This window comes from Homo sapiens, chromosome 12 (assembly GCF_000001405.40).
Source record: "Homo sapiens chromosome 12, GRCh38.p14 Primary Assembly".
Classification (NCBI taxonomy): domain Eukaryota; kingdom Metazoa; phylum Chordata; class Mammalia; order Primates; family Hominidae; genus Homo; species Homo sapiens.
In genome coordinates, this window is record NC_000012.12 from 15,310,594 (window position 1) to 15,338,298 (window position 27,705).

General features: G+C 37.6%; 1 protein-coding gene and 1 long non-coding RNA gene across 10 annotated transcripts in view; one reads left to right on the forward strand and one right to left on the reverse strand.

The window, feature by feature from the left end:
- Window positions 1-27,705, reverse strand: part of LOC105369673 (uncharacterized) — a 79,767-nt gene that overhangs the window by 41,655 nt on the left and 10,407 nt on the right. For 2 of the 5 annotated variants that reach the window (XR_007063226.1, XR_007063225.1), the window contains exons 2-3: window positions 26,784-26,877; window positions 10,048-13,256 (exon numbers count right to left, since the gene is read on the reverse strand). This is a non-coding gene — a long non-coding RNA (uncharacterized LOC105369673). Of the gene's footprint in view, window positions 1-10,047; window positions 13,257-25,939; window positions 26,878-27,705 lie in introns of those variants that run through there. The other 3 variants (XR_001749021.2, XR_001749023.2, XR_007063224.1) reach the window with 2 other exon arrangements.
- PTPRO (protein tyrosine phosphatase receptor type O) overlaps window positions 11,915-27,705 on the forward strand; it is a 275,824-nt gene continuing 260,033 nt past the window's right edge. For all 5 annotated transcript variants that reach the window (XR_931316.4, XR_007063106.1, NM_030667.3 and 2 more), the window contains exon 1: window positions 11,915-12,208. Coding sequence is in view for 3 of the 5 variants with exons in the window: in NM_030667.3 (NP_109592.1) it covers window positions 12,134-12,208 (75 nt within the window). In the remaining 2 variants the exon portion in view is untranslated. The remainder of the gene's footprint in view (window positions 12,209-27,705) is intronic.

Consider the following 27,705-nt stretch of genomic DNA (forward strand, 5'->3'; position numbering starts at 1 on the left):
AGATTATACCATCATAGCTATTTAAGAGAAGCCCTCCACAGGCTTATGTATAGTGGCACAATTTGTCTTCATTCTGATGGAGGGGGAGAAGGAAGATTTTCCCCTCCATCTGTTTCTAGAGAGCCTACTGCTGCATTCTGAAAAGCCAGAAAATGAAAATCAGACTAATTCTCAGTCTTCGGATTTCTTCTTTTCAGTATCTACACTCTCCCTTAGTGATCTCAGACAGTTTCAGAGTTTTAAATGTCATTTTAAAAATTGAAGATGCCTAAATATATTACTCCAGTCCAGACCTAACCCCTCATTTACAGAATAATTTGTCTAATTCCTATTCAGCATCATCGTTTAGATGTCTAACAAATATCTCAAAATTAACATGTCCAATCTGAACTAATATTTCCTCAAAACCTGCACTACTTCTTTCTTCCTTTTAAAACAAAAAAATTTTTTGGTAGAGAGGATCTCACTTTGTCACCCATGCTGGAATGGAGTGGCACAATCATACTTAACTGCAACTTCAAACTCCTGGGTTCAAGTGATCCTCCCATTTCAGCCCCCCAAGTGTCATTCATTTTCAAATGATGGCAAATTCATCATTTCTGACCAGGCCAAAAACATGAGTTTCTCCTTCCTTCCTTCCTTCCTTCCTTCCTTCCTTCCTCTCTTTCTTTCTCTCTCTCTTTCTTTCTTCCTTCCTTCCTTCCTTTCTTTTTCTTTCTTTCTTTCTTCTTTCTTTCTTTCTCTTTCTTTCTAGTTCTTTCTTTCTCATCCTCTTTCTTTCTTTTTTATTTATTTTTTTGATGTGTCTTTGTCTAGTTTCTATATCAGGGTAACACTGGCCTTGTAGAATGAGTTTAGAAGTATTCAGTCCTCCTCTATTTTGGGGAATAGTTTTGAGTAGCATTTGTATTAGTTGCTCTTTAAGTGGTAGAATTCAGCAGTAAAGCCATCAGGTCCTGGGCTTTTCTTTACTGGGTGACTATTATACATTCAATCTCATTACTTGTTATGGGTAGATCTATATTTTGGGTTTCATTCTGGTTCAATCTTGGAAGGTTGTAGGTATCTAGCAATTTCTCCATTTCTTCTTGATTTTCCAATTTGTTGGCATACAGTTGCTCATGATAGCAGCTAATGATCCTTTGAATTTCTGCAGTATCTGTTGTAATCATTTCTGATTTTATTTATTTGGATCTTGTCTCTTTTTACTTAGCCTCACTAAAGTTTTGTTAATATTGTTTGACTTTTCAAAAAAACAACTTTTTGTTTTGTTTGTATTTTGAATTTTTTGTTTCATTTATTTCTGCTCTGATCTTTATTACTCCTTTTCTTCTACCAATTTAGGGTTTGGTTTGCTCTTGCTTTCATAGCTCTTTAAGATGCATCATTATATTGTTTATTTGAAGTTTTTCCTCTTTTTCAATGTAGGCACCTATAAACTTCCCTCTTAGTACTGCCTTTCCTGTATCACATAGGTTTTGGTATGTTTTGTTTCCATTATCATTTGTTTCAAGAAGTTTCTCAATTTCCTTCTTAATTTCTTCATTGATCCACTGGTCATTCAGGAGCACAGTGTTTAATTTTTATGTATTTATATAGTTTCCAAAATTCCTCTTATTTATTTCTAATTTATTTTTTTGTGGTCAGAGAAGATGCTTGATATTATTTCAATGTTTTTTAGTGTTTTAAGAATTGTTTCGTGGCCTAACATATGGTCTATCCTTGAGAATTATCCACATGAGAAGGAAAAGAATGTTTATTCTGCAGCCCTTGGATGAAATATTTTGTAAATATCCATTAGATCTATTTGGTTTGTAATGCAGATTAAGTCTGATGTTTTGTGGTTGACTTTCTGTCTGGAAGATCATCCAGTGCTGAAAATGGGGTCTTGAAGTCTCCAACTATTATTGTATTGAACCTATCTTTCTCTTTAGTGCTAATAATACTTCCTTTTTATATCTGGGTGTTCCAGTGTTGGGTGCATATATGTTTCAAGTTGTTATATCCTCTTGTGGAATTGACCCCTTTTATCATTATATAGTGATCTTTATCTCTTCTTACAGTTTTGGTCTTGAAATCTATTTTGTCTGATATAAGTATAGCAACTACTGTCCTTCTTTGGTTTCATTGTCATGAAATATATTCTTCAATCCCTTTATTTTCAGTCTATATGTATCTTTACAGGTGAAGTGACTGGAGTCAAAATCTCAGAAGTCTTCCTGGTGGTCTATTGTTTTGCAGCTGAGCTGGCATACAAACCACTAGATGCAATACCTGCCACTCTTCTCTCCGCTTTCCAAAAGCAGTGGAACCTCAACCCATAGCCACTGCCACCCTGGCTGTGAGGAGCACTGCCAGACTACTGCCTATGTTCCTTTAAGGCCCAAGGTCTCTTAAGTCAGACTGTAGTGAATTCTGCCTGGCCTGAGACTCACCCTTCAGGGAAGTAGGCTCTCCTCTGGCCCAGGACAGGTCCAGAAATGTCTTCCAAGGGCCAAATCCTGGAATAGAAAACCCCAAGAGTCTGCTTTGTGTTCTACTCCACTGTGGCTGTGTTGCTACCTAAGATGCAAGACAAAGTCCCCTTTATTTTCCCTCTGCTTTTCTCAAGCAAAAGGAGTGTTGCTTCACAGCCACCACAGCTGGTAATGTGCCGAGTCTCACCTGAAGCTAGCAAGTCTCAGAGACTCACTAAGGCCCTTGATGTAGTACCTGAGTATTGCTGCTGGTTATTCATAGCCCAAGGGCTCTTCAGTTAGCAGACAATGAATGCTGCCAGGACTTGATCCTTTTCTTCAAGGCAGCAAGTCCCCTCTGACCCAGGGTGTGTCTAGAAATATCTGGGAGCTAGGGCGTGGAATGGCGACCTCATGACTGTGTTTGGTGCCCTATCCTACTGTGGTTGAGCTGATATCCAAGATGCAAGACAAGTCCTCCCCACTCTTCCCTCTTCTCTCCTCAAGCAGAAGGAAGGGGTCTCTTTTGGAGCCATGAGCTGTGCCACCATGGGTTAGGGGAGGGGTGATGCCAGCACTTCTTTTCCTGCCCCAACTGGTGTCTCAGTATGTCATGTCTCCCCCAGTCCACTGTCTCTGGTCCTACTTCAGCCCTAGAGCTCACCTAAGAGTTGCCATCCTTATGGTCTAGACTGCCTTTCCAGTTTATGTAGAGATTGAGAGCACTTTGGCCCTTGGTGGTCCAGGTTTGGACTGCTGATATCGGTGATTCCCCTCTGGCTAGCGCTGGTTTAAATGTTCCCTCTGTGTGTGGACATCAGCTGAGTTTGGTTTGGCTTTCCTTCCTGCTCTAACAGGATAGCACTGAGTTCAATGAGTCATAAATTGCTGTCTTCTCCTTCTGTCAGAACCCAGAGATGCTCTCCGCATGAGGCTGCTGCTGCTCAGGGTCATGATGGGAGATTCAAGACTGTGTTTTCTATCTCTTCAGTGTCTCTTTCAGTGATATGAAGTGAAAACCAGGTACTCTGAGAGTTCACCTGATTTTTGGTTCTTATGTAGGTGTTTTTTCTGTGTAGATAGTTGTTAGTTGTTAACTTGGTGTACTTGTGGTGGGGGGCGACAGGTGGAGCTTACCATTCCACCATCTTGCTCCACCTCTCTCCTATACTGAATTCTTGCTTGGAGTTTTCATTTTGTTTTTCTGATTTTTTATTATCTTAATTTTAAAAAAATGCATTAAAATTCATGCTTTTTAGCATCGTTTGATGAGTTTTGACAAACGATAAAGTTATATAGCTGCCAATGAAATAAAGATTTAGAATATTTTCGTCACCCCAAAAGTCCTGTGTGCCTTTTAAGTCAGCCCCTTTCATCACCCCTAGTCCTTGGCAACCATTGGTCTGGTTTTGTTCTCCATAGTTTTACCATTTCTAAAGTGACTCATAAATGGGTACATACAGATTGTGACTTTTTGTTTCTGACTTCACTTAGCATAAAACATTTTGAGAGTCATTTACATTGTTGCATGTTATCTGTAGCTCAGTTACTTTTATTTCTGAGTAACATTCTGCTGGATGTGTGGACTATGGTTTGTCTACCCAATTACAATTAAAAGATTGCCTGGATTTTGAGTAAAATTATCACCCTCATGAAAATGACTTTCCCTTATGTGTTCCTCTCCTTGATCATTCACCAACCTTTTGTTCTGCACACAGTTCTCTAGGATCTATCATATGCAGATATTGTTACCTTGTTGTCTCTTATTTGTTGTTCCCTACAAAAAGTGGACGTGAACCTAGGGTAAAGTTTAATATCTCACCTTAGACAATTAAACCAAAACATTAAAATAAACATTTTATATTTCAATATTTGATGGCACAATTACCATTGGCAATTATTCTACTTTATTCATTCAACCTATACTCTCTGTGTGGCTACTTATTTTCTGGAACTAACTTAAGTGGTAAGGAGAAATTGCTCACGAAGTACCTGAACTTTTAGAATTCACAGTGATGAAGAAGAAAACAAAATATAAATACTAAATAGACTAGGTGGGTTATGAAAGTTTAAACTCTAGAAGTAGGCTGAGGAAATAAAGTTTGAGTAGAAATAGGACTACATTTGGGAGAGGAAAATTCCAGGCAGAGAGAATAGCACACATCACAGTATCAAGAGGGAGCATTGTATGAATGAGTTTTAGAAGTTCAGAGAGCAAAGGTGATGGAGATATCACAAGAGATTTGAGATTCAAGTAAGGGATAGATTGTTTAGGGCCTGTGGACCAGAGGAATTCTTTTTTTTTTTTTTTTTTTTTGACAGATTTTCACTCTTGTCACCCAGGCTGGTGTGCAATGGCGAGATCTTGGCTCTCTGCAACCTCTACCTCCCAGGTTTGAGCGATTCTCCTGTCTCAGCCTCCTGAGTAGCTGGGATTACAGGTGCCTGACGCCATGCCCAGCTAATTTTTGTATTTTAATAGAGACGGGGTTTCACTATGTTGGCCAGCCTGGTCTCAAACTCCTGACTTCAGGTGATCCACCCGCCCCAGCCTCCCAAAGTGCTGGGATTATAGCCATCAGCCATCACACCTGGCCCAAGCTAAGGAATCCTACTACTATCCTAGAAGCATTTGGAAACCATTGATTAGTTTTATGTAAAAGAGTCTGGTTAATCAGATTGAAGTTACAAAAACTGGTTCTACCTTGATGCAGTTGGAAATACTTTTTTGTTGTACTCCAAGCTGAAGTGGAGGAAGCCAGAGAGGATAGAAGTAGACTAGACTCATGCAAATAGGTATTCATGAAGGTACTGCAATAGTTCCAGCAAGATAAAGGTAATTTGAACTAAAGTACAGGTAGGGTGGGATAGAGAGAAATGAATTGACACAACAACTATTTCAGAAGCAAGAGAACAGGACATTGAATCACGTTGGATTTGGTGCTATTGGAGGTGGGTGGGTGGAGAAAGAGGCATAAAGAATGACACCTGGGTTTCTGGCTTTTGTGGATGGTTTGGTCTTGGTATAATTTATAGAGATAGGAGTTTCTGATGGAAATTATTGAGTTCAGTTTCAGACCTGTTAAGTTTGAGAAGTTTGAAACACAAGGAGATTCAAGCATGCAGTTAGCTTTGTGGGTGTGAAATACAAAAGAGTGTTTTAGTAAGGCTGCTGACAGAACCCTGTGGTTCATCCGCATAGGTAGGGATTGAAGACGTGGCCAATGATTAGATTGGCAAAGGCAAGAATTCAGAGGAAAACAGGGAAAGTCTAGGATTAAGAATTGAGAATTGCAACATTAAATGGACAGGAAGGGGAAAATGAACAAGCAAGGGAGATACAAAAAGGACAGTCAGAAATATAGCCAAAAAACAGGGTTGTGTAAGGTTACAGAAAGTTGGAGAAGAGAATGCTTGAGGAAGGAGGGAACAGCCAACATAGCATACTCTCCCAAGAGGTTCCTAGTGGACTTTGGTGAGAGCAGTGCTCAGGAGATGATGGGAACAGAAGCCCTACAGAGTGGTTTGAAAAGCAAGTAGAAGCTGAAAAATATGGAGACAGAGTATACACGACCATTCAAAAATCATCGCTGTGAACGGACGGTGGCAGTGGTGAAAGAGAGAGAGAAAGAAAAGGTTGCGGCCAAGGACAAGCAGGGCCCAGTGAAGACTTTCTTTCCTTCAGTTGTAAAGTTATGAACATGGTTAAAAACCCAAAGGATGGAATCCATCAAAATAGCACAGAAAAGGCTGGAAGTAATGAGCTCCCGAAAATAGGTGGTAAAATTTTCTTTATATGGTCGTTGAGAGGGAGAGAGAGACCATTCCTTGTACTCAACAAGACAGAAATGAATTGAATATGGGTTGGAATTATGTTTACTGTCAAGGAAGATAAAAAAGTTGTCACCTCTGTTTCCTCTCTAAGGTAGAAGGTGAAGCCAAAACACTGAAAAGTTTTCCAGGGCAGAGGGTTGAAGCTTTGAGATGAGTAGAAAAGGCAGAAAGTGGTCACTGTAGAGTGAGATAGTGAGTTAACAGAGAATGGCCATAGGCTTCACATATGTTGATCCCTGATCAGATTTCACTCAAATCATCCTCTTGAGATACATTAAATGCTTACTCTTATAATTTTTCCACATTATCAAATTATTAACCAAAACAGGTGAAATCTCTACATATAACCCCCACTCCCAAACTGCTTCTCTTACAGATATTCACACTAAGCAAGTGTATCTAGAAATGTGTGACTTTCCTGTTTTGCCTTCTCTTTTTGTGTTTTGATGAGGAGGATGTTTTAGTTTTCCCTTGGGCACTTCATTTTCTCTAGAATTACTGTGCCTTCTTTAAATTTTTTCTTCTATGTCCCTCTGCTAAGACAGGTAATAACATCAATCTATCAGTGGCATCCCCTCATCTCTTCAGAGTATGGTCTTCTTTACCCCTTCTCTCACAGTTAAATTTGAATATATCATTAGCTTTGTAATTTCAGCATAAAATTGATTTGGTGTGATTGATTTGAAGTATGATTGTCAATGCAATGTTGTTATACCTGCTATAGTACTATAACTGCTGAGGTAAAACCCTTAGCAGTTAAGGCAGTGGATTTTCAAAATATGCGATTAATGTTTTCATAGTTTTTACATAGCACCTGAAATCACCATCACCAAATTTTTCATAATTAGATATTGGTAGCTGTTTTTAAGTGGCACATATGTAGGCACTATGTGTGACACTGAGTTGACTGTAAATGTTGCATTGCACCTTTAATTTGAGGGGAAGTAAAGAAGGAAGGGAAGGAAGCATCAGCAGATACCATTTCCACTTAGCAAACACTATGTCTTGCTTTAGCTATAAATTACACTCAGGTTCTATTCTTGCTTTTCATGCCAAGCTAAAGTGAATCACTCAGTGCAGTGATGCTAATACTTTAAATTATAGTTAGCCAAAAAACCTAGTTATGAAGAAAAGCTAAATTAGTAAATGATAGCAATGTCTGGAACATTCAGAAAAAATATTTTAGAAGTTCATTAGTCAAGGCATTTCATATAAATAAAATATGAGATAAAATCATATAACTTAAGGCTAATGCCTTTTATTAAAGTTTTAGAGCAATTAAATGAAATGCTAGCAACAAACAGAATCCTAGTATATGACTGAATGAAGGTATAATATCTAAAAACACGACAATCTGCATTTCTAATGTAGGGCTGTTTATCCTATAGCCTGTAATTTGTGTCCAGTGATATATATCTGCATATCTGCTCACACTTTCTATGTATGTTTCCTTATTTCTTTAAGTATATAATTTTGTGTTGTAAGACATATCTTGTAATGCAATATTCTTATTTGATTTTCTTTAAGACATGTAAGAGTCAAGTACAAGTAAGATAGGTCTCTTAATAGGAATCTTTTGCGGCGGGAGAGGGGAATATAATGGGAAAAGACTCTCCAAGTAAAAGCAAAAATGACCTTCTTTAGCGTATTTCCACTGTTTTTCAAGTGCAGCAAGAGTAATAAGTCTTGGCAGTTGGAACATGCCATTCACCTGAGGGCTGTCAATCGTTCTCATTTTGAAAGACACAAAACTTATGAATTGTCAACACATCATTTAGGTGAGAAACCAGTGCTCATCAAGAGAAAAAATTAAAACAAATGCTCAAATAAATAGAAAATCAAAATGCTTCCTGGTCATTTTCTTCCAAGAGCTTAATACAGATAATCTACAGTTCATATGCTATAAAAATTGTAACATGTGAGATATGGACAACAAACTGAATGGCTATTACTTTTCCAATGGAATAGAGTCTAGAGAACAATTGCTTGAATTTTTCTTTCTATTCCATATAAAGTAAATTATTTGTCATTGAGCATCCCCCATAAATACAATTATCTAATACTGAAACTGCTGACAGCCTTGTAGGCTATTTCAGTAGTGGAAGCCAGGACTAAACACACTCAACTACATTAGAGGTTGTCCCTGGAGGACAGAATTGAGCTTCATTGGCAAGGGCACCGTAAGAGTTCCATTTGACTCCTCATTAAACCTCTCACAGGGATTCTAGCTGCTTCTCTGTGTCTGCGCTTGCTTTTCTATAGAAGAGATAGATGTGAACCACGTAGGCAAAGATACATTTCTACATATTTAGGAAAAGATCGCTTTTCTTGGTAAAAACTAAGCCTCCTATAGATTTTAAAAAGACCTTCCAGTTTCATGATCATTAACCACCTTTTTATAATTTTCAAAGGAAGTAGAGAGCTTTATTTCAATTTGTGAGAACTTATTTTTCAATGCTTGTTTTATGGCATGTCAGAGATATTATTATTTTTCTGTGTTTATTTTTTCTCCAGGAAAAGTAGCATTAGGGGAAAACAGTTGGTGATAATGATCTCAGCCTTCTTTACCTAACAATGTGGTTGTCATAATGAAATCTGGACCAATATGTAGAAGCAATTGGTGAAACATAAATTACTATATGCACTGTATGTTGCCCCTGGCTGTTTTGTTGATTTGGAGTCTTGAAAATAGCATAATAAGATTTATCATACTTTGGAAGTATTGTATTGAAAAACCAGTCAATAGCTCAAAGAAACACAAAACATGCTCTATGAATTGAAAACCCCACACTGTGGATGACACAGCATTCACATTCTTTATGAGAATCTCTTCTAGGACACTGTTATGGTTTAAGTGCAATAAAAACAAATGAAAGTATTTTATCCAGCAATAGCAATGTAAAATACTTTTCTCTAGAGAGGAAATTTTCTGTGATTATAAAATAATACTTTCAGTCTTCAGCCCATCTAACCACAATGTTACTAATAAAATAACAACAATGCCAATTACTAATGCTTTACTACTTACTGTTTACTGTTATTGTTCCTCCAAAGTGGTCCACATAATATATATATATATATATATATATATACATATATATATATATGCACAAAGACAGAAAGAGCTGAACAAATTGTGATGTATGACTAAGAGAAAAACAGAAAGACGCAGCAGAATATGATTATTTAAAAGGGAGCCTCATTGTGAAAGTTCTTTTAGCATTTACAAGATTAATTTATGATCAGAACTGCTTTAAACGCCCTACGCACATCAGGCAAGGCTATATCCATGTATACACACAGACATATGCATACACACAAATGAATATCATCATACAGACCCATAATTCACAGACACATTTTAAAATTAAATGCTACTCCAAAGAGAAATTGTTGGCATCCTGTGAGTGTGATTGTTGCCCTTGGCCTATATATATCTTATGTTCTAGAGATTAGATCACTTTACAGCCACTTCTGAGGGCGAGTGGGAATAAAATGCTGCTTCAGGAGCGTCAAAATAAAAAGAAAACATATTAAACCAAAGTTCCTATAAGTGCAATCCCAAGGATTAAATGTTCAGATAGCCCGTAAGTCTAACCCAGAGGGAGGGAGGAGCAGTTAACATTTTCTCAAAAGAAAGAAAATGTCCAAACCAATGATGAGTGGACATGAGGGACCTGAAGAGAGCATGTGATGGGAATGTGAAAACAAAAGAAGCTTCTAAAAGAAGACACCAAGGATAATATTCTCACAAAAATTCAGACCATCATTCTATATTTTCATGCATATGAATTTTGGTACATATTTCATGCATATGAAATTTGGTACATATATACATATATGTACCATGCATATACATATGCGTACATATACATATACGTATGCATACACATATGTATCTATGTACACACATACACATATGTGTACACACATATGTACATGCACACACATATGTGTACACATATGTACATGCACACACATGTGTGTACACATATGTACATGTACACATATGTGTACATGTACACATGTGTATATATACATATTCACACTTATGTAAACATATTCAATCTAAAGCTTCCTTAAGACACATACAAACAACAACCAAATGATTAGTGTTTGGCCATTGCTCATGCAGCAAAAGCTGAGTAAACACAGCTCTGGATCCTTTTCTCAGGCCACCACTCCCTAGCTGTGTGACTGACAAAGTCTATGCCTGAACACCTACATTCATGACCAGGGTGGCCTTTCCTGTCTCCTGTTGCCCAAGCATGTCTCAGGTATAAATAAGTTCCAATACTGACAGGGCACAGCAAGGGTAATTTACATGACAATAAGAAATGATTTCTATCTGAACAGTGCATACCAGAGTTGATTTCGACAGACTTATCTTTAAAAAAATACACATAACAAAAAAGGAGACAAGTAGTAGATTGGGGACCCACAGCTTGAAAGTCGTTGCTTGTGATTCTAAAACATCCCAGTAAAATTATTCACAGATAATTGTTTAAAAATATAACTGTACATACCGTTGACACTTGGACAACACAGAGAATCACGTAGTTGAAAATCCACATATAACTTTGAACTCATCAAAACCTTAACTACTAATAGCCTACTCTTGACCGGAAACCTTACTGATAACATAATAAACAGTTGATTAACACACATTTTGTGTTGTATGTATTGTATACTGTATTCTTACAATAAAGTACGCTAGAGAACAGAAAATATTATTAAGAAAACCATAAAGAGGAGAAAATACATTTATATTCATTGAGTGGAAGTGAATTATCATAAAAGTCTTTAACGTCATCCTTTTCAGGCTGAGCAGGCAGAGGAGGAGGAAGAGGGTTTGGTCTTGCTGTCTCAAGGCTGGCAAAGGTGGAAGAAAATCTGCATATAACTGGACCCAACAGTTCAAACCCGTGTTGTTCAAGGGTCATACATGTAAAATACTGTGATTTTTCCCCCTTCTATATTCAGCTTCAGGTGACCCGACACACTTTGGTATCAAAAGAGAATCTGAAATGTACAAGAACTGCGGATTTCAAATGGAAAAGGTGCATAATTGTGCTATTTGTTCCTGGGTGAGTGTGGGACGGAGACGGTGAGAGTGTTGAAATGGGATGGAGATAATGGAAGCAGTGGGGAAGGAGAGAAAATACCCTTCCTATCACACACACTCACACACTCACACTACACACTATTTCTACAGTCACAACTACCCAACTGTTATTGATCCTTTATAACTGCAATTGAGTACAGATGTAGGAAGATTGAGAGGGAACTGGGATCTGGCGCCTGGATTGCTCAAGAGAGGTCAGGGAAACCCCTCAGAACTCCTGAGACCCAGAGATTGAGGGAGGGGTTGAGGCGGAGTCTGCAATGGGGGCTGTCCAGCAGTAGCAAGCAGCGGGCCGATCCTGGTGGAGGGTTGGGAGGCTGCTGTCATTTTATGGGTCGGCAGCCAGAGTGAGAGTGTCCCTGCTGCCAGAGGACTACGGCGGGCTGGGCGCGGGGTCCCCGCCTCTCGCTCACCACACAGACCCCGCGCCTCCTCTGGCAGCCGCGGTGGTGGCGGCGGCAGAGCCTCGCCCACTCCAATCCCCACCCTCTCCATCCTTAGTCATTAAAGAACAGCAGCGCCTGGCACGTTCTTGGAGGACCCCGGGCGCAGAGGAGGAAAGGGAGCAGGCGCAGGGGGACTGGAAAGGCAGCATGCGCTCGCCAGGAGCAACCTCGGCGCCCAGGGTCTGAGGCTGCAGCCCCAGTTCGCCATTGTGAGCCGCCGCCGGGGGAGTCCGCTAGCGCAGCCGTGCCCCCGAGTCCCCGTCCGCGCAGCGATGGGGCACCTGCCCACGGGGATACACGGCGCCCGCCGCCTCCTGCCTCTGCTCTGGCTCTTTGTGCTGTTCAAGGTAGGGGAGCTCCTCCACCCCTTTTTCCCAGCGGTCCGGGCGGCAGCCGCGCTCCGGCGCCCTCGCTCTGCCGTTGGGAGCGGCGCGCCCCAGGGCACGATGGCCCAGCCGCGGGAAGCGCCTGCCGTGCAGCCTGGGCGCACGCTTTGTTGTCCTCGCGTGTGCGTGTTCCTGGTGGTCTTGAGAGGTAGGGGGCGGGGGGAAGAATAAGGGAAGTTTGCTCCCTCCGGCTTTCGCCCTTTGTGCTCTTTTATCGCTGCTGAAATCCACATCAAAGGTGGGCTTGTTGGATCGTGCTTTCTCAGGCAAAATGAGGTCACTTTCTTTTCTGGTTTCCACTGCACCCCAACGCTGCTTAACCTTTCCGCCCTCCCTCGCACAGAATGCTTTGTCTTAATTTTCCTTACTGCTGGAATTATACACTGGAGAGTGGAGGGGGACTGAGCTCCCTGGACACAAATGGACTGCCAGGGCTACGTTAGGGCAGAATTTTCTTTGAATAAGGAGTGTCAGGTAGAGAGCTTGGTAAGGATTCCTCTCCCCAACTCCTATCAACATCTTTACAATTCCTTTTAAAAAGTCTCCAGACTTTCTCCACTATATTTACAGATGATATTACCCCTAGATTTAATGGTGGAAAAATATATAATAATAAACTTTTTCGTATCTTCTTTGGAATGTGCTACCCTGAGGTTTTACTTTGAGAAAAATGAAAAGCAAAGGAGTTGCTTTTGAAAAATCAGTTTGACAACTATACTGTACATAAATTTTTTTGAAGAAATGTCAGCTAGATGTTTTCTTGGACGGCGATGTGAAGTTCTGAAGTGATTGTCTATCACTCATGTCTTCAGTGGATCTACTTTAGTTCTGTTGTTAGTCTTTTCCTCTCTCCGCAAAGCAAACTCAAGAATGTCGACAGGTGACTTGGAGCTATCCTTTCAGGACCACAGTGATACCTTCCCTAGAAATGGATGCCAGGTTAATGGATCCAAAGGTTTTCTTATTATAGAGTCACTTCTTGCTTATATGCACCATTAATTATGAATGCCTAAAAAGAATATAATGGAACAGGACCAATGGATTAAGAACAGCATTACTTTTAAATACTCCATATTTTCATTTATCTTAATGAAAAATATAAAAAAAATTCAGGGAGAAACAGCAACAGAATGCCTAAGTAAGACCTTAAAATATATTTAATATGTTTTAACATTTTTTCTTAAATTATCAATAATCATTAATTTTAAAGTATGGTAAATAATAAGCTCAGTTATATGTTTTTACTGTAGGAGGTTGTTCTTTCATACACATCATAAATGCATTAGACTTATTAGGTTGTCTATTAGTCGTTTTCTAACTATTTATCAAACTGTCACAACTATTTTACCTATGCAATAATTGTCATGAACCAAAAATTAGAAACCAAGTCACTATGCATTTTACGAGCAACAGCTAAGAGTTATATGTATGACATCTGATCCAAACCTAACGTTTAGCACAACTGCAGGTTTTTGCGTGAGTTCTTCATAATGAGATAATTCCAGAAATAAGAGAATGACTTGGTTGGGAGTGGGGGTAAGGTTTTGCAATTAAAATAAAATAAATGTGGCCATTGTTTGACTTAAAACTCGATATTGGAATGAGAAAATGCAGTTAGTGATGGTGTAATGAAAATGTTAGTGATTGTCATAGAGGTCCAGCCTGCTTCACATAATAGGTATATTCCTGAACATTGCAGGTAAATGTAAATTATGGCAAACTGCTTCCATAGTAAATACATTGGCAAAGTTTGCCATTTAAATAATAATTATTGTAGTGGGACACATAATTTTGTAAGAAAAATCATTTTCCTTTATTTTATGTGAATGTAATATTTTTGTCACCTGAATATAAACTATATCAGAGGAAAGAAGAAAAAACTGTATATATTAAATACCTTCTATGTGCTGGTTTTTTAGGCATTTTACATACGTTATTTCATTTAATCCTATTTTGCTGCAGTTGACAAGAGTTGTTCAAAAAAAATGGTAAATTGGGCACACAGTGTAATATCTTACATTTAGAGGATAGTATATTACATGGTGCGTTGGGCACATGGTATAATCTCTTTATAATTTGGAGATATTTTTGAATTAAAGGTCCTGATTAAGTGCCAGTAAAACAGATCTACTCAAGCAGGTTGTGACTGGAGGATGAGAAAAAATTCATTATTAAATACCAAACTGCTAACTGTATCTCAATAATAAAATCCAAAATGTTCCACGTGTGCCGAGTCAGAAATGAAACATTCTCTCAACTCTCCCTTGCCAAAATAATTTCCATAGTTTTCACTATAGTTAATACATTTTTCACTACTCCATATGTGTATCCTTTATATAAGAGTGAAAATTCTGAAGGAAAATAAGACAGAGAAATTCAAGTATGAGGCTTAATTTACAGCTTTACATTTTCCACAACTCAAAAATAAGCAGCTGGATATCAGTGGTGGAAAAGTAGGAAAGTTTGAATGTGTATGAATGGCTATAATCAGTTCCATTGAGGGAGACTAAATGTGACTGGCCAAGAAGGTCTTTGTGCCATCGTTCCTTATCCATGGAGCAGTGATGAGCACATATAATCGGGCATCTCAGACTGTCTAAATCATTCACTGCACATTATGAAGCTAATATCTGCATAATTTATCTTGCCTAAACACAATGTTGGTTATGAAAATTTTTATTTTTATATCAATATTGATGGTGTATATAAAATAGAAGAAAAAATGGAACTCTGTTATTATATTGAAGGCTACTAATTTCAAAGTCTTCTATGGATGAATGCAAGTGAGGTATTTATCTGGCGAGCCTCGCTGTTGTGTGTCTTCCCATAATTCCCAGTGAAAGAAATGTAACTTCCTACACTTGTCCTATCTTTACTAAAGCCCTCCTAGAAAATGTCTTCCTGTATCAGTTTACTCAGTATAAGTACTTTGTCTACTAAGGTGCAAATCGTGGAATATGACATCATAGGAATTTGAAGTTGGCCTTCCCTGAAATGTTGCTTTTTAGTAGTCAGCTGGAATATATTCCTAAACTCAAGTGCTTGGCGTGTGTCCTTCTTTTTTAACCCCTTCTCTCTATTTCTTTCTATTTCTGCTTTTACCAGAGATATCATCAAAGAATATCAAATTTAAAAAGGGTCTTAATATTGTACTTTCTGAAACAGGTTTATATTTAATTCTATAATACATGAGTGTTATGATACTGGCCATTCTACTCTTATCCAGGGGAAATATCTGTTTTCCACGGTCTGTCTGCCTTTCCTTTCCTATGTCTCCCCTCGCAACCCCATACACACACACAAAGAAGTTTCACTTTTCGTGGTTGAGGTTTCATCCATAAATTGCACAGTGTTGGCAGGTGAACCATAATCCTTTCATTTTGCTGGAGCAGCTTAGATCCTTTCCATCACAATGAAGTTTGCTGCCCTTAACTCCCATGTCATCTGACTCCTTTAATAAATCATATTGCCAACCTTTTGGAGAAACCTTTTTACATGTGACATCCCCAGTAGGTTGGCAAAGGCTCCCTGGGCCATGCTTCTACAGATGATCGAGTAATAATCCTTCCCACTGTGAACATATGTTTCCTTTTGTTCTTTGTTTTGTGAGAGACTATCGTTGTGTGAAGGAATGAAAAATTCACATTACACCTCTGCCTCATTTTGGCCCAAAAGAAAATGCACATTTATGTGGATAACTGATTAAAAACAATATGAGTTGTACTTTATTTTAAAATGTAACACTATTTCTACTATCTAAATATCCAACTTAAAGGTATTTAAACGTATAAGCAGATTTACTCCTGAACCTTATAAATATAATTCTAACTTGAGGGGTTGTAAAAGAATGTTTGATGTCAGATACAGTTGATGCACTTAAGTAAAACATTGTAATTGGTAGCAGTGTGGCACAATAGAAGGCTTAACAACAATGACCACAAGTTTTCATTTTCCCCTAATTTAATGCCTCTCCGTACACAGTTTCAGTGATGTTGCATTTTCAGAAACATATCCCAGTGCAGTGATGAGCTTTACTGTAAAGCACTTAATGTTTTCATTTAATTACTCCAAATATGTTGTAAATATTTTTGAAATAAAGGAATGTCTACTGTAATATTTCTATCTTTCATGGTGCTAGTATGTGGTGTTAGGAATTTAATAGAAGGTTAATAAACAGATTTAAATTTTCTGCATTATATAAAAGCTCTGACTGAGAATTATGAAATATTGTAATATTGACTTGTGAACACATCTTTAAGGAAAATATAGGAAAATTATCATTATGGGAGTTAAATAATCATAACTACAATGCACTCATTACATTCAAATAGTAAAAATTTTACCAATCACTTATATTAGAATCTTATTAAAACCATAAATTAAAATATCAGTTATTTTTCCCAGAAATGTAATATTCTCAGTTGCTCATTTATTCATTAATGTTACCTCACCTCTGTTTAATGTTATTAATTAAAAAGTAGCAAATGACATACTAGGGGAAATTGATTTTTTTAACCTGTATGGGTGACCTACAATTTCAGCTAGTACCCAGATATACAGGTAATATTTTTGCCTCCTCTTCCACATCACCACTCCGCTATGACCACAACCAACCAGAACTGACCAAGATTTCTGTGTTCCTAGTAGAAATCCTCCTAATGTTTTGTCAGACATCACCCTTAAGAGATGAAGTATTTTCTACACCCTGGTCTTGGTTATCCCTATGGTAGTGTTTAATCCAAGGTCGTATAACCCAATTTCTTACAGAACTCTTCTATAGTCATCTTAAATACCCATTATATCAGCTCTTTTTGCTCAAATAAATATGTAAGTTTTTTTTGTGCGCTGGTGTCATTGATTTGAGGAACCCAAACAAGGTTAATGTGGCTCAAGTAAAGTGAGCAAGAGTGTGAATGGATTGGGATGAGTGTGAATGGGTTCCTTCTCTCCTGGTGCTGTTGACTCCAGCAGGTCCCATAGGGTTTCTATCAGCCAATAAGAGGTGGCTCACGCCTGTAATCCCAGCACTTTGGGAGCCTGAAGCAGGTGGATCACCTGAGGTCAGGAATTCGATACCAGCCTGGCAAACATGGTGAAACCCCGTCTCTACTAAAAATACAAAAAACAGCCAGGTGTGGTGGCAGGCACCTGTAATCCCAGTTACTCGGGAGGCTGAGGCAGGAGAATCGCTTGAACCCAGAAGGCGGAGGTTGCAGTGAGCAAAGATCACACCATTGCACTCCAGCCTGGGCGACAAGAGTGAAACTTGTCTCAAAAAAAAAAAAAAAGTATATGTGAATAACCTCCTTAATTAAATACCTCTCATGTAATCTGCTATCACCAATTACTCCTAATGTTTCCCTTTTCCAAGCTTGTTCTAGGTCTTCAGAACACCAATCCTTAGATTTTTTTTCCTCTGCACATTGTACCTTTGAATTTATTTCTATGAGTAAGATCATATCTTAGCCTTGTGCCAGAAAAGCGTTCGCAAGTCTTTCAGCATCTAATTCCCGAATGAAAGATTTCTTCTTTCCTTAGACATTCTAGTTACTTAAAGGCCAGCTCCTTTTTCTTCTGAATATTTTAAAACCACCAAACAAACAGAAGATGTTTGAAACAAGGTTGCGGGGATTTCCTGATAAAAGGTTTTTTTCTTTCCTTTTTTTCAGGAAATTGAGATGAAAGGGAGAAAAGTGATATATGCTTGGAAAAATATTTCAGAAACAGAGAATCAGAAATGGAAATAGGACTTCAAGCTTGAGAGCGGTATTGCAAATTATGAGTATGAATGGTAATTTCTGTAAGAAAATGAATATAGGGGAAATTAGAGAATGAAATGAAGAACATTTGATGAAAACAAATACACTGCAATTCTATTTATATGCAAATAAATGTATTTTCTTATCAAATACTCTTTATCTATTTGGTTTTTCACTCTTTATAAATAGGAATGCTGCACAGTTCATTTTTCTAACAAAACTATTTCTATCTTAATGAAAATTTAAACTAAATAAACCTATTTTTAAATGTGATTTTTGGTATATTTACTAGCAAATTAAAAGAATAGGAATGCAATTTATCTACAAGTAGTGGTGCAAGATCAGAATTATATTAATAGTAATCTATATGAGATTTAAATGATGAATGTTTCCCTTTTTTGTGCTATTTCATTTTACTGTTTTCAGATAACTGAGACTTTGTTTTATTTTCCTCTTTCTGCCTACTAAGTTTTTAATATCAGTGATTTATATAACGGGTGAGGAAAGGCGTCATATGACTCTACCATGCTCTCAATACTGTTCCTTCATTATTACCCGCCATTGACCAAATTAAGTGCAGAGGAATTTCTGACCCTGGTTCTCTCTACCTTTAACCCGTATCAGAGACCAATTATGAGCCTGCTGTGCTGATATGTGTCTTGTGATTCTCTCTTGGTTCCACGCATAGGAATTTGTGATTGGCATGTACAAACCAGATGTCAGAGAATTCAAAAGAATTTTCAGTGCCCTTTGTATCTTCGGTCCTATCTGAAGCCTGATTCCCACCTCCCTATACTTACTTTCTGAATCAATATTGTATTTTGATAAACTCTAGTATTCCTGCTTTTGGATCCTGGCATTAATTATAATTAACCACTCCTTGTCTTTTAGTTTCCTTGAAAGAGCATCCTATAAACATTTTTTGGCTGGCCAATCTTTCCCCAATGCCAAAATGGAAAGATTGAGAAGCTCCCTTTCTTCTTCAATACTGTCTTTTGTATTCCAGAATAAAGACTCACTGCCCAATTCCATTTAGTTAATCAAACATCCATTAAGCATCTAATATGTGCCAGGAATTTTACTAGATATTATAGGTACAGAAGTGGATAATACTCAGTTGAGTCCCTGGCAGTGGCATATTGGGAACATGGACACAGATGATGGTCATTAGAATATGGTGTTTTGTTTTACGGATGAAAATGTGGGCTGCTAGAGGAGAGACACTTAACTATTTAGTGGTTTGGGAAATTATTTATTTTAAGATGATTCCTGAGCTGAGTCCTGAAGCATAGGTACGAGTTAGGTTTAAATATATACACACAAAGGCAGAGAAAACTGCACGAGCAAAGGCCCAGTGTTGTGAAAAGCATGGCAGAGTTTAGGAAAATGCAGATATATATCAAAGGCAATGAAGCCACAGGAGCCAGATCAGGGAGACTTCTACATGCTGAGCCAGAAAGAAGGATCTCTGTATTCTCTAGGGGAAGAGGCCTTATCGAAGGGTTTAATCAAGGCATTAGTGAGATAAGAGTTGCATTTCAGATAGAGCGCTTTGCCTGCAAGAAAGGCTATCCCAAAGGTAGAGCCAGCCTGGAAGAATTAAACTAGTAGCAGGTTGTTGAAATTATCCAATTAAGAGACGACAAACACTGGCATTAGGGTGACAGACAGTCAAAGAGTGGCAATGTTGAAAAATAGCTACATTGGCAAGACTGATTAGATGTGGGAAATTGGAGAGAGCAAGATGTAGGGTAATTTCTTGGTAACCAACCCTCTTGCCTGGAAGAGTAGCGGTCTCAAGATAACATGTGTGCTGGACAGTCTACTCTCGAGATCAACTGTGCTGGATAGTCTGCTCTTGAGATCAACTCACCTCTCCACTGTGCCCAGTGCCAGGAAGTGTCCCTCTATGGACCATTTCTTCCTGTTCCCTTGCCCTTTGGTTCCTAGTGAGTTTGGCCAATAGAAGGCACTAGCCAAAGATTACTGCTAGAAGGAGGGAGAAATCAAATCATTTATTCTCCTAGCCTCCACCCTGGCCAGCCCCCATTAGGCAGTGGCTTCATTCTCTCTTCCAGTTCTATAGTCAGCCCCTCTTACAAGGCTGATGTTCTGGCCAAATTCCTGAAACAGTTCTCTGTCTTTATCCCTTGAGAGCAATAGCTTCTCCCTGCTTCTAGACCCTAAGTATGTTTTCTCCATGCTTAATACATTATTTCTGCTCCAAACCTTGATCGCTTTGGCTAGTCCATCCCTTCATTTCATTCTCTGGGATTTTCTTTTTGAGTGTCCTGCTGGGACCATGACTGATATAAGACATGGTAGGTTTGGTGGTAGACCTTTGAGTTTGAAGCAGTTGAAAACAAATAAATAAACAAAAACAGGTACTTGATATGAGTCTGAAGGGTAGAGGAGATGGAAGGCCTGGAGATGTGAATGGGATCCCCTAGCAGAGAGAAAGGGAGTGAAGGGCAGTGGGCCGGAAGGGGGTCTTGAGAGGCACCGATTGTTAATTTCAGGCAAATAAGGAATTTAAGAAGTTGAAGGCACAGCCAGAGAGGTACAGAAGGAAAGCAAAATCAAGGAAACCCAAGATCTAGGAAATTTCAAGTGGAGGACTTGGCAAACAGCATCTAATGCAACAGAGAGGCCCTATAAGCTAAGGTCTGGAAAATATCTTTATATTAGGAAATAGGTAGGCTATTGGACTCTCTGGAGACTGGGAGGTATAAATGCTTCCGGGAATTGAAGAATAAAAAAGCAGCCCCTTATCTGATAAGAGCATAGGTGCCAGGTGAGATCAGAGAGACCTGAAGTCAATATCAATTCTCCACTATGCTATTTACTGGCAGTAGGATGCTGGGAAAGTTATTTCACCTCTCTGGATTCCCTTTTGTTCATCTCTTATACATATGTCTTAGAATTATTGTCAGGAATAAATAAGAAAATGACCACAAAGTACTGGGAACAGTGCCTAGAATACAGTGAGCACTCAATTAATGTTATGTATAACAATAAACTAAAGAGAAAAATAGTAAAAATAGGCAAAGTGAAGTCAAAGAGGTAGGGCAATAAAAATGTGTACAGAGCAGCATTTCCCAAAATGTGCTCCACAGTACACTGGAGAGGCTGGCAATACTCTTGTATTGAATGTTATTAAAAATGAATACCTTTGTGGTGACATGAATTTGGGAAATTATTAGTTTAACTTTGTTTAAACTAGTATTAACTTGTTTTTGTGTGCCAGAATTTCTTAGAACTTTTAATATGTTAACACGTATTGTATCTTCCACAGGAGAAATATGATGTATAACATTTTCAAACTTGTTTGATTATAGTATCCTTTTTGTTTCTCTTTCTTTCTTTTTTTTTTTTTTTTTTTTGACAGAGTCTTGTTGCTCTGCCACCAAGGCTGGAATGCAGTGACATGATCTAGGCTCACTGCAACCTCTGCCTTCCAGGTTCAAGCAATTCTCCTGCCTCAGCCTCCCAAGTGGCTGCGATTACAGGCATGCACCAGCCTGCTCAGCTAATTTTTTGTATTTTTAGTAGAGACAGAATTTCACCATGTTGGCCAGGTTGGTCTTGAACTTCTGACCTCAGGAGAATAATGAATATGCTCTAAGAAACAATATTTATGCTTATATGATAGATGCTTTGTTTATCTTTCCTTTGTTTAAAAAATTATAAATGTAACCTTAAGGATAAAGAAAACATAGCAGCAAGATCAACTGTAATTTAAATCTCAGAATCAGGAGAATTTGCTTGGAAAGCAATCATCCCAACTTTCTTATAAAACACTGATGTTCAGGAAAATGCTTTTGGAGGAAAATACGTAGATATCTTCCTTACTTTATGGACTGTACTAATTCTGGCTTCAGTAATTGTACATGTAAAATGTTTCTTTGAGTTTTGAATCAAAAAATGAACCATACATTTTAACATCATTTTCCAATGTAATTATCTTAATATATAGCTTAACAGACCAATCAACTTTGTTCAGTATATATCATTGAATCATAAAGCCATATTTTTTCAAAGACCATCTAGTTCAAAATTTAAGCTGATGCTTAGATATTGTCTCTAATATCACTGCTAATTAATCATAAATGGTGACATTACCAACAGCTGTAAAGTAGCCATTCCACCTTCAGACAACAGTTTTGTTGTTTTGTTGATTTGGTTTGGTCTTGAGATTAACTACTTCTGGTTGTAGCATTCACATGTTACTTCCATCTCTGTTTGACTTTAGTAGAGCACTATATAGTAACTGCTCTTGCTCTCATGCATGTTATGAATAACTGCTTTGCCAACAGACCTGATGGCTTATAAAGATAAAATGTGAGAAGCTTGTCATCTCACTGTTCTGTCCTCATCCTCCATCACACAACTTTAAGCTATTTACACCAGCCTGAGTTTTCTGCCTATTGCCATTTTTTTCTTTTTTATAGCCCCAATAACAAATTGAGTAGAAAACAGTTTTTATTCTTCCCGAGGGTGTTCCACGATGAACCATGGTAAGGAGTTGGGAATGCTAGTGTGAGAAAAATGCATGGCACATAGTAAGCATTCTATACATGCAGATTTTATATTATTCCAATCTCTGCTCAAGAAACATTTTTATTCAGCACTTCTTTCTGAACAGCCTATCTAAAATCATCCCTATCACTCTAATATTTTACCACTCTTACCTAAGCTTCTTTTTCTTCAGAGAATGTATCATTCACTAAATGACATTACATTGCATATTTTATGATAACTTAGCTCCTCTATGGGAATATTTATAGGTTTCATGACAGCAAGGACTTTGTCCATTGTGTTCACTGTTGTATCCTCAGCTCCTGGAAGAGTGCCTGGCCTATGGTAATGTCCAGTGAACATTTGTTGAACGAGTGAATGAATGAGTGTTGAATAAATAAATGGAGTGAGGGAGGTCAAATGGAAGGTATGGGACAGACTCGAGACAGAGGAATAGCAGGATGCAGGTGTGCAAGCACAGGGAGTAGAGAAGCTGCACAGTGAGATGAGCTAGGAGGGAGGGTCTATCAGGCAGGCGCCACTGAGTCGGGCTGGGGAGGCAGTGGCACCAGGGTGGAGGATGACCTGGAGATGCCATTTTGCTCTGGTGGAGGGAATAGAGGTTTTATTACCACAGGTGAAAATGAGCTCATTTAGACATCAAGATAATGTTCCTGACCCTTTTTTTTCTCTTTATTTTATCAGGTTAGAGTAAACCACTGAGGACCAAATGATGGGTGCCCAAGTCATAAATAGGTTCCCTTGTGTAATGAAGCAAAAGCATAGCTTTTCTGATCATTTATTCTCCATCGTATTCATTGACTGTGCCTATAATTTACTTACTTATAAAAAGTAAGTTTTTAAAATGTAAAACTTTGTTTTTATCTTGGCTCTACGGTTTGAAAATGTCAAATAGAAACTTAATGTGTAAATCTTTTTTTCTCTCACCATGCACGTCATATAACCAGATTGTCTCTAGACCTCAAAAGGCATTTCTGGAAACTCACACAACTAACTGAAGCTCTGATGATAAATTATTGTTTTTCTTCAAAACTTAAAACTTTTATGATTTCCTTTACTTTTGGAAATTTTATTGTTTATTTTTTTAAATGCACATAGATACCTCACGGAAATTTTAAAAATGACTTTTTGAAAATGATTGTCTTTTCCTGGATAAAATTCCATTACGTAACTTCTTATAGAAACAACTGGTAATTTTTATACTCAGTTGAAATACTAGGTGATAAATATTTTATTATGCAACACAGACAGTGAGTTAAACATGCTGATTCATGAGTGCTACATAAAGTGTTAGTACATATAGACCAAAAACCTGAATTGTCCAGATTTTCAAGTGACTAACATACAAAATATATGCTTAAGACAACTGCTATTACTTAAATAATTCAGTATTTCTCTGGTAAGTTGAAAGGTATTACATAATCTTGTAATGCACTGATCTATATCCATAGTCTATTAACTGTACTGAAAAAGTACTGAAGTTTGGGTTAGCTGTAATTTTTATTCTACAACTTTAATTTTGTTTCTGTTTGTTGGCAAATCAATATATCATCCAAAGCCAAAAATAGAAGGAAAATTGTGATCAAATTATTTACACTCTCACATACATGACTGAAAGGAGTTTTTGCTCCTGCCTTTATAAATTTATGATCAGGAGACTCACTTCTGGAGTATAAAAATAGCATTAATAATTCTTTAATGAATTGTTTTCCTTAAAATTAATAATCTTCTTTACTCAATATCAAATCAAAATTTCTGGAAACATTTGAAAACACATTTACACAAGTCTCTTTCTGTCTCTGGAGTGGCTACACTAGAATTAAGCTAATTGTCACACATCATCCTGTCTCTGAGATAAGCCAGGAATTTCCAATTTTAGTCAAGTTGGTGATCCATAAAATAGATATCCTAGTAAAATTACTATGAGCTTTCTACTTACTTTGATATTGTGCTGATAACTAAAGTGTAATTATAAAAATTGAAGTGTTGTTACTGCCAAATACCACAAAGTATAAGCATCACACTTATAATAATACATATTGACACCATCACCTTAAGAAATATCTTCTCATTTGAATGTACTTAAAATTCTTAGATTTTTATCTAGGAAAAAAAATTGGCTTCTAAAGTTCGTGAATGTTAAGTTGATTAATAAGATAAATAGTAAAAGACCGAGGGAATGGTATATTGTCTCCATGTATTATTAAACATTGAGTCATGTGGTCATCTCTTAAAGGATTATAGAAAAAAAAGGTTTTTATGAAATGCATTGGTGTAATAGCCTTATTTACATATAAACATAGTGAGGAGATGTGCCCAAGTTTATTCTGCATTGCCATGGGGGAATTTCCTCTGCAATTTTCCCTAACTAAATTATACTTTTTAATTAGTCTTTTAGAACTGACTATAGGCCTTATTCAAAGTGGTTAGATACTTGAGATTTGTAATATGGAAATTGTGGTATTGACAAAGCTTTGCTAAAATAATCACAAGGACTTAGAACTAAATACTTTGGAATTCATTCTAAAAACTTAGTTTATGAGGTTTTGTTATTTTTTTTTAATTAGCGAAATTTGCTAAAACTGAGCCACCCTTATAATGTGTCTCAGATTGCTTCCTTGGATTTACATTTTATTTATTTGCAACAAATAAAATACAGTTGCATCTTTAAACCCTTTTTCCATCTCTATGCTATTACCTTGGTTCATTTCTACTGCTAGATTGATGTAACATCTTTCTTTTCTGAAGGATAGTTGAGAAACTAATGAGAATCTTTCCATTGAAATTCTTGCTGCTACACTGAGGCCTTCAATTAGCCTCTTTACTATATGGCTGCTTATGGTTTTGAAGTAAGGTATTCTTAATTTGATATCTTTAAGCCTGAATCAGGTGTGCATCATCATGCACGAGAATTCTGTAATAACATACAAAGAACTGGAAAACTGACAGATGTTCACAGCGGAAAATGTATAAAATACAACAGGCAGAAAAAGAATATCATCATTCCTAAACACTGCATTCCAAAATAGCTACCATCTGGAGACATATCTTTCCAAATCTTTTCCTGTATCTGTGCATTTGAGTGTGTATGTTAAAAAAAAAAAAGGTATAAAACTTCCCTACTATACATGCTTTTTTCACTTAAAGGTATTGTGATAATTTTTTTCAAGACCTGAACATTTTCACTCTTCTGCAATTTAGGACATTAACCCATATGTCAAGGTCAATTGCATGCAATTCCCAAGTGTATTTGCATTGTTAAAGACGTAGATGATCATAGATACAGATTGTAACCATGAAGTGGGGAAAAGGAATTTGTTGAGCAAAGAGATTGTTGTCTATGTATGTGCCCACCATTAGTGTAACTACTGAAGAATTACACACATAGCAAAACTTCAGAGGCTATATTGGCAGGCATTTATTTTCCATTTTTTCACAACTAAACACTGTGCATAAGGAACTTAAGAATAAAGGCATGCTGGTTAAAAAAAAAGATATAGGATTGAATTCTGGCTGTATTCTTTACTAGCTATGGCATTTGGCAGTGTACTGATCTCTTCATAGAAGACAAATCACAGTGGCTGCACAGATCACTATTCCTCCAGCAGCCCAGTCTGCCATCCCACCAGGTCAGCCTACGCCCAGCCTTGCTAATATCTTGCTAATCTTGGAGGAAAATTTCTTTTCCTCTTTGATCCACATAGTCTGAAGTTGGGATACCATTCTCCTACTTGACCTCACTGCTCTGGGCAGAATGAACAGCCAAGAGGTGAACACCTGACCTAAGCCCATGTGGGGACTGCACCTCGCTGACCACTGTCTTTGGAATTGGCATGTGATCTAAGCCAGAACAATCAGAACCTAGTCCTACAATTGTTTTCAAACTGGCAATGGCAGGGGAGGTGAAAGAATATTTTCCTTTCCAGTTGTGGAGCTAAGGCATGAGCTTGGACAGTGTCCTCAACCATAAAACTGACTCAAGAAGAAACGTTTTGTAGGAAGAAATATTTTATAGCAGAAAAGAAGCCAGCAGGAATAGTAGAGACTTCAGCAAGACTATCATTCATTGCAGGAAGATGATCTCATTCCTCAGACTCCAGTGAGTCACTCCACAGGCACTTAGAAAAATTACAAATTTACTAAAATTCAACTCCATCATAACCAAGCAGGCATAATAGTGATACTTGGGATCCTTATGTAAACTGAATCAGAGTGATTATGTAATTTATCATACCAACCGGAACACTTCCGAGAGTGAAGGGATCCTTATGCCAGGACAGAAGACGCAAATCAGCCTGTTCTGGGAAAACCGTGATGGATGGTTACCTCTTCCTGAAAACACAAACAAACACGTTTTGTGCAGTATGCAGTCACTAGTTCCTCGCCCATCTCACTCATCCATGAAAATCTCTGCTCTAAGATGAACTAACCATAGAAAAGGAATTGCAATTATCTTAAATCAAAAACTAAAACCTGTACACACATATTCCTAGAAACTTCCTACTAGCCCAGAACTGAGAATAACCAAAATGTCCTTCAACAAGTAAAAAGTTTAAAAACTGTGGTGCATCCATACCATATAATATTATTCAGCAATGAAAAGGAATGAACCATTGATACACATAGCCACTTAAATGAACTTCAGGAAAATAATGCTGAGTGGAAAAAGTCCATCTCAAAAGGTCTCATTCTGTATGATTCCATTATATAACATTATGATGAAGGAAAGTTTCATGGTTGCCAAAGACTAGGGATTAGGGGAATGGGGAATAGCTGCATGTGGCTAAAAGGGGCTAACATGAGGAAGCCTTGAAATAATGAAACAGTTATATATCTTGATTGTGGTGGTAATTACATAAAGTTATACATGTGATAAATTTGTAAGATCTGGACATACACTCACAAATGAGCACATATGTAACTGGTGAAATCTGTATATGCTCTATGAGATGTACTAATATCAATTTCACCTTTTGGATTTTTCTTGTTTTAATATGTAAGATATCAACATTGGGGGAGGCAGGATCAAAAGTACCTGGAACTTTCCTGTATATTTCCTTGCAACTTCGTATAAATCTGTAGTTATCTCCAGGAAAAATGTTTTTAAAAACTTTATTAGGTTTTTCAAAGCTTGCTTTGTTTTGTTTTTTGTATGTGTGT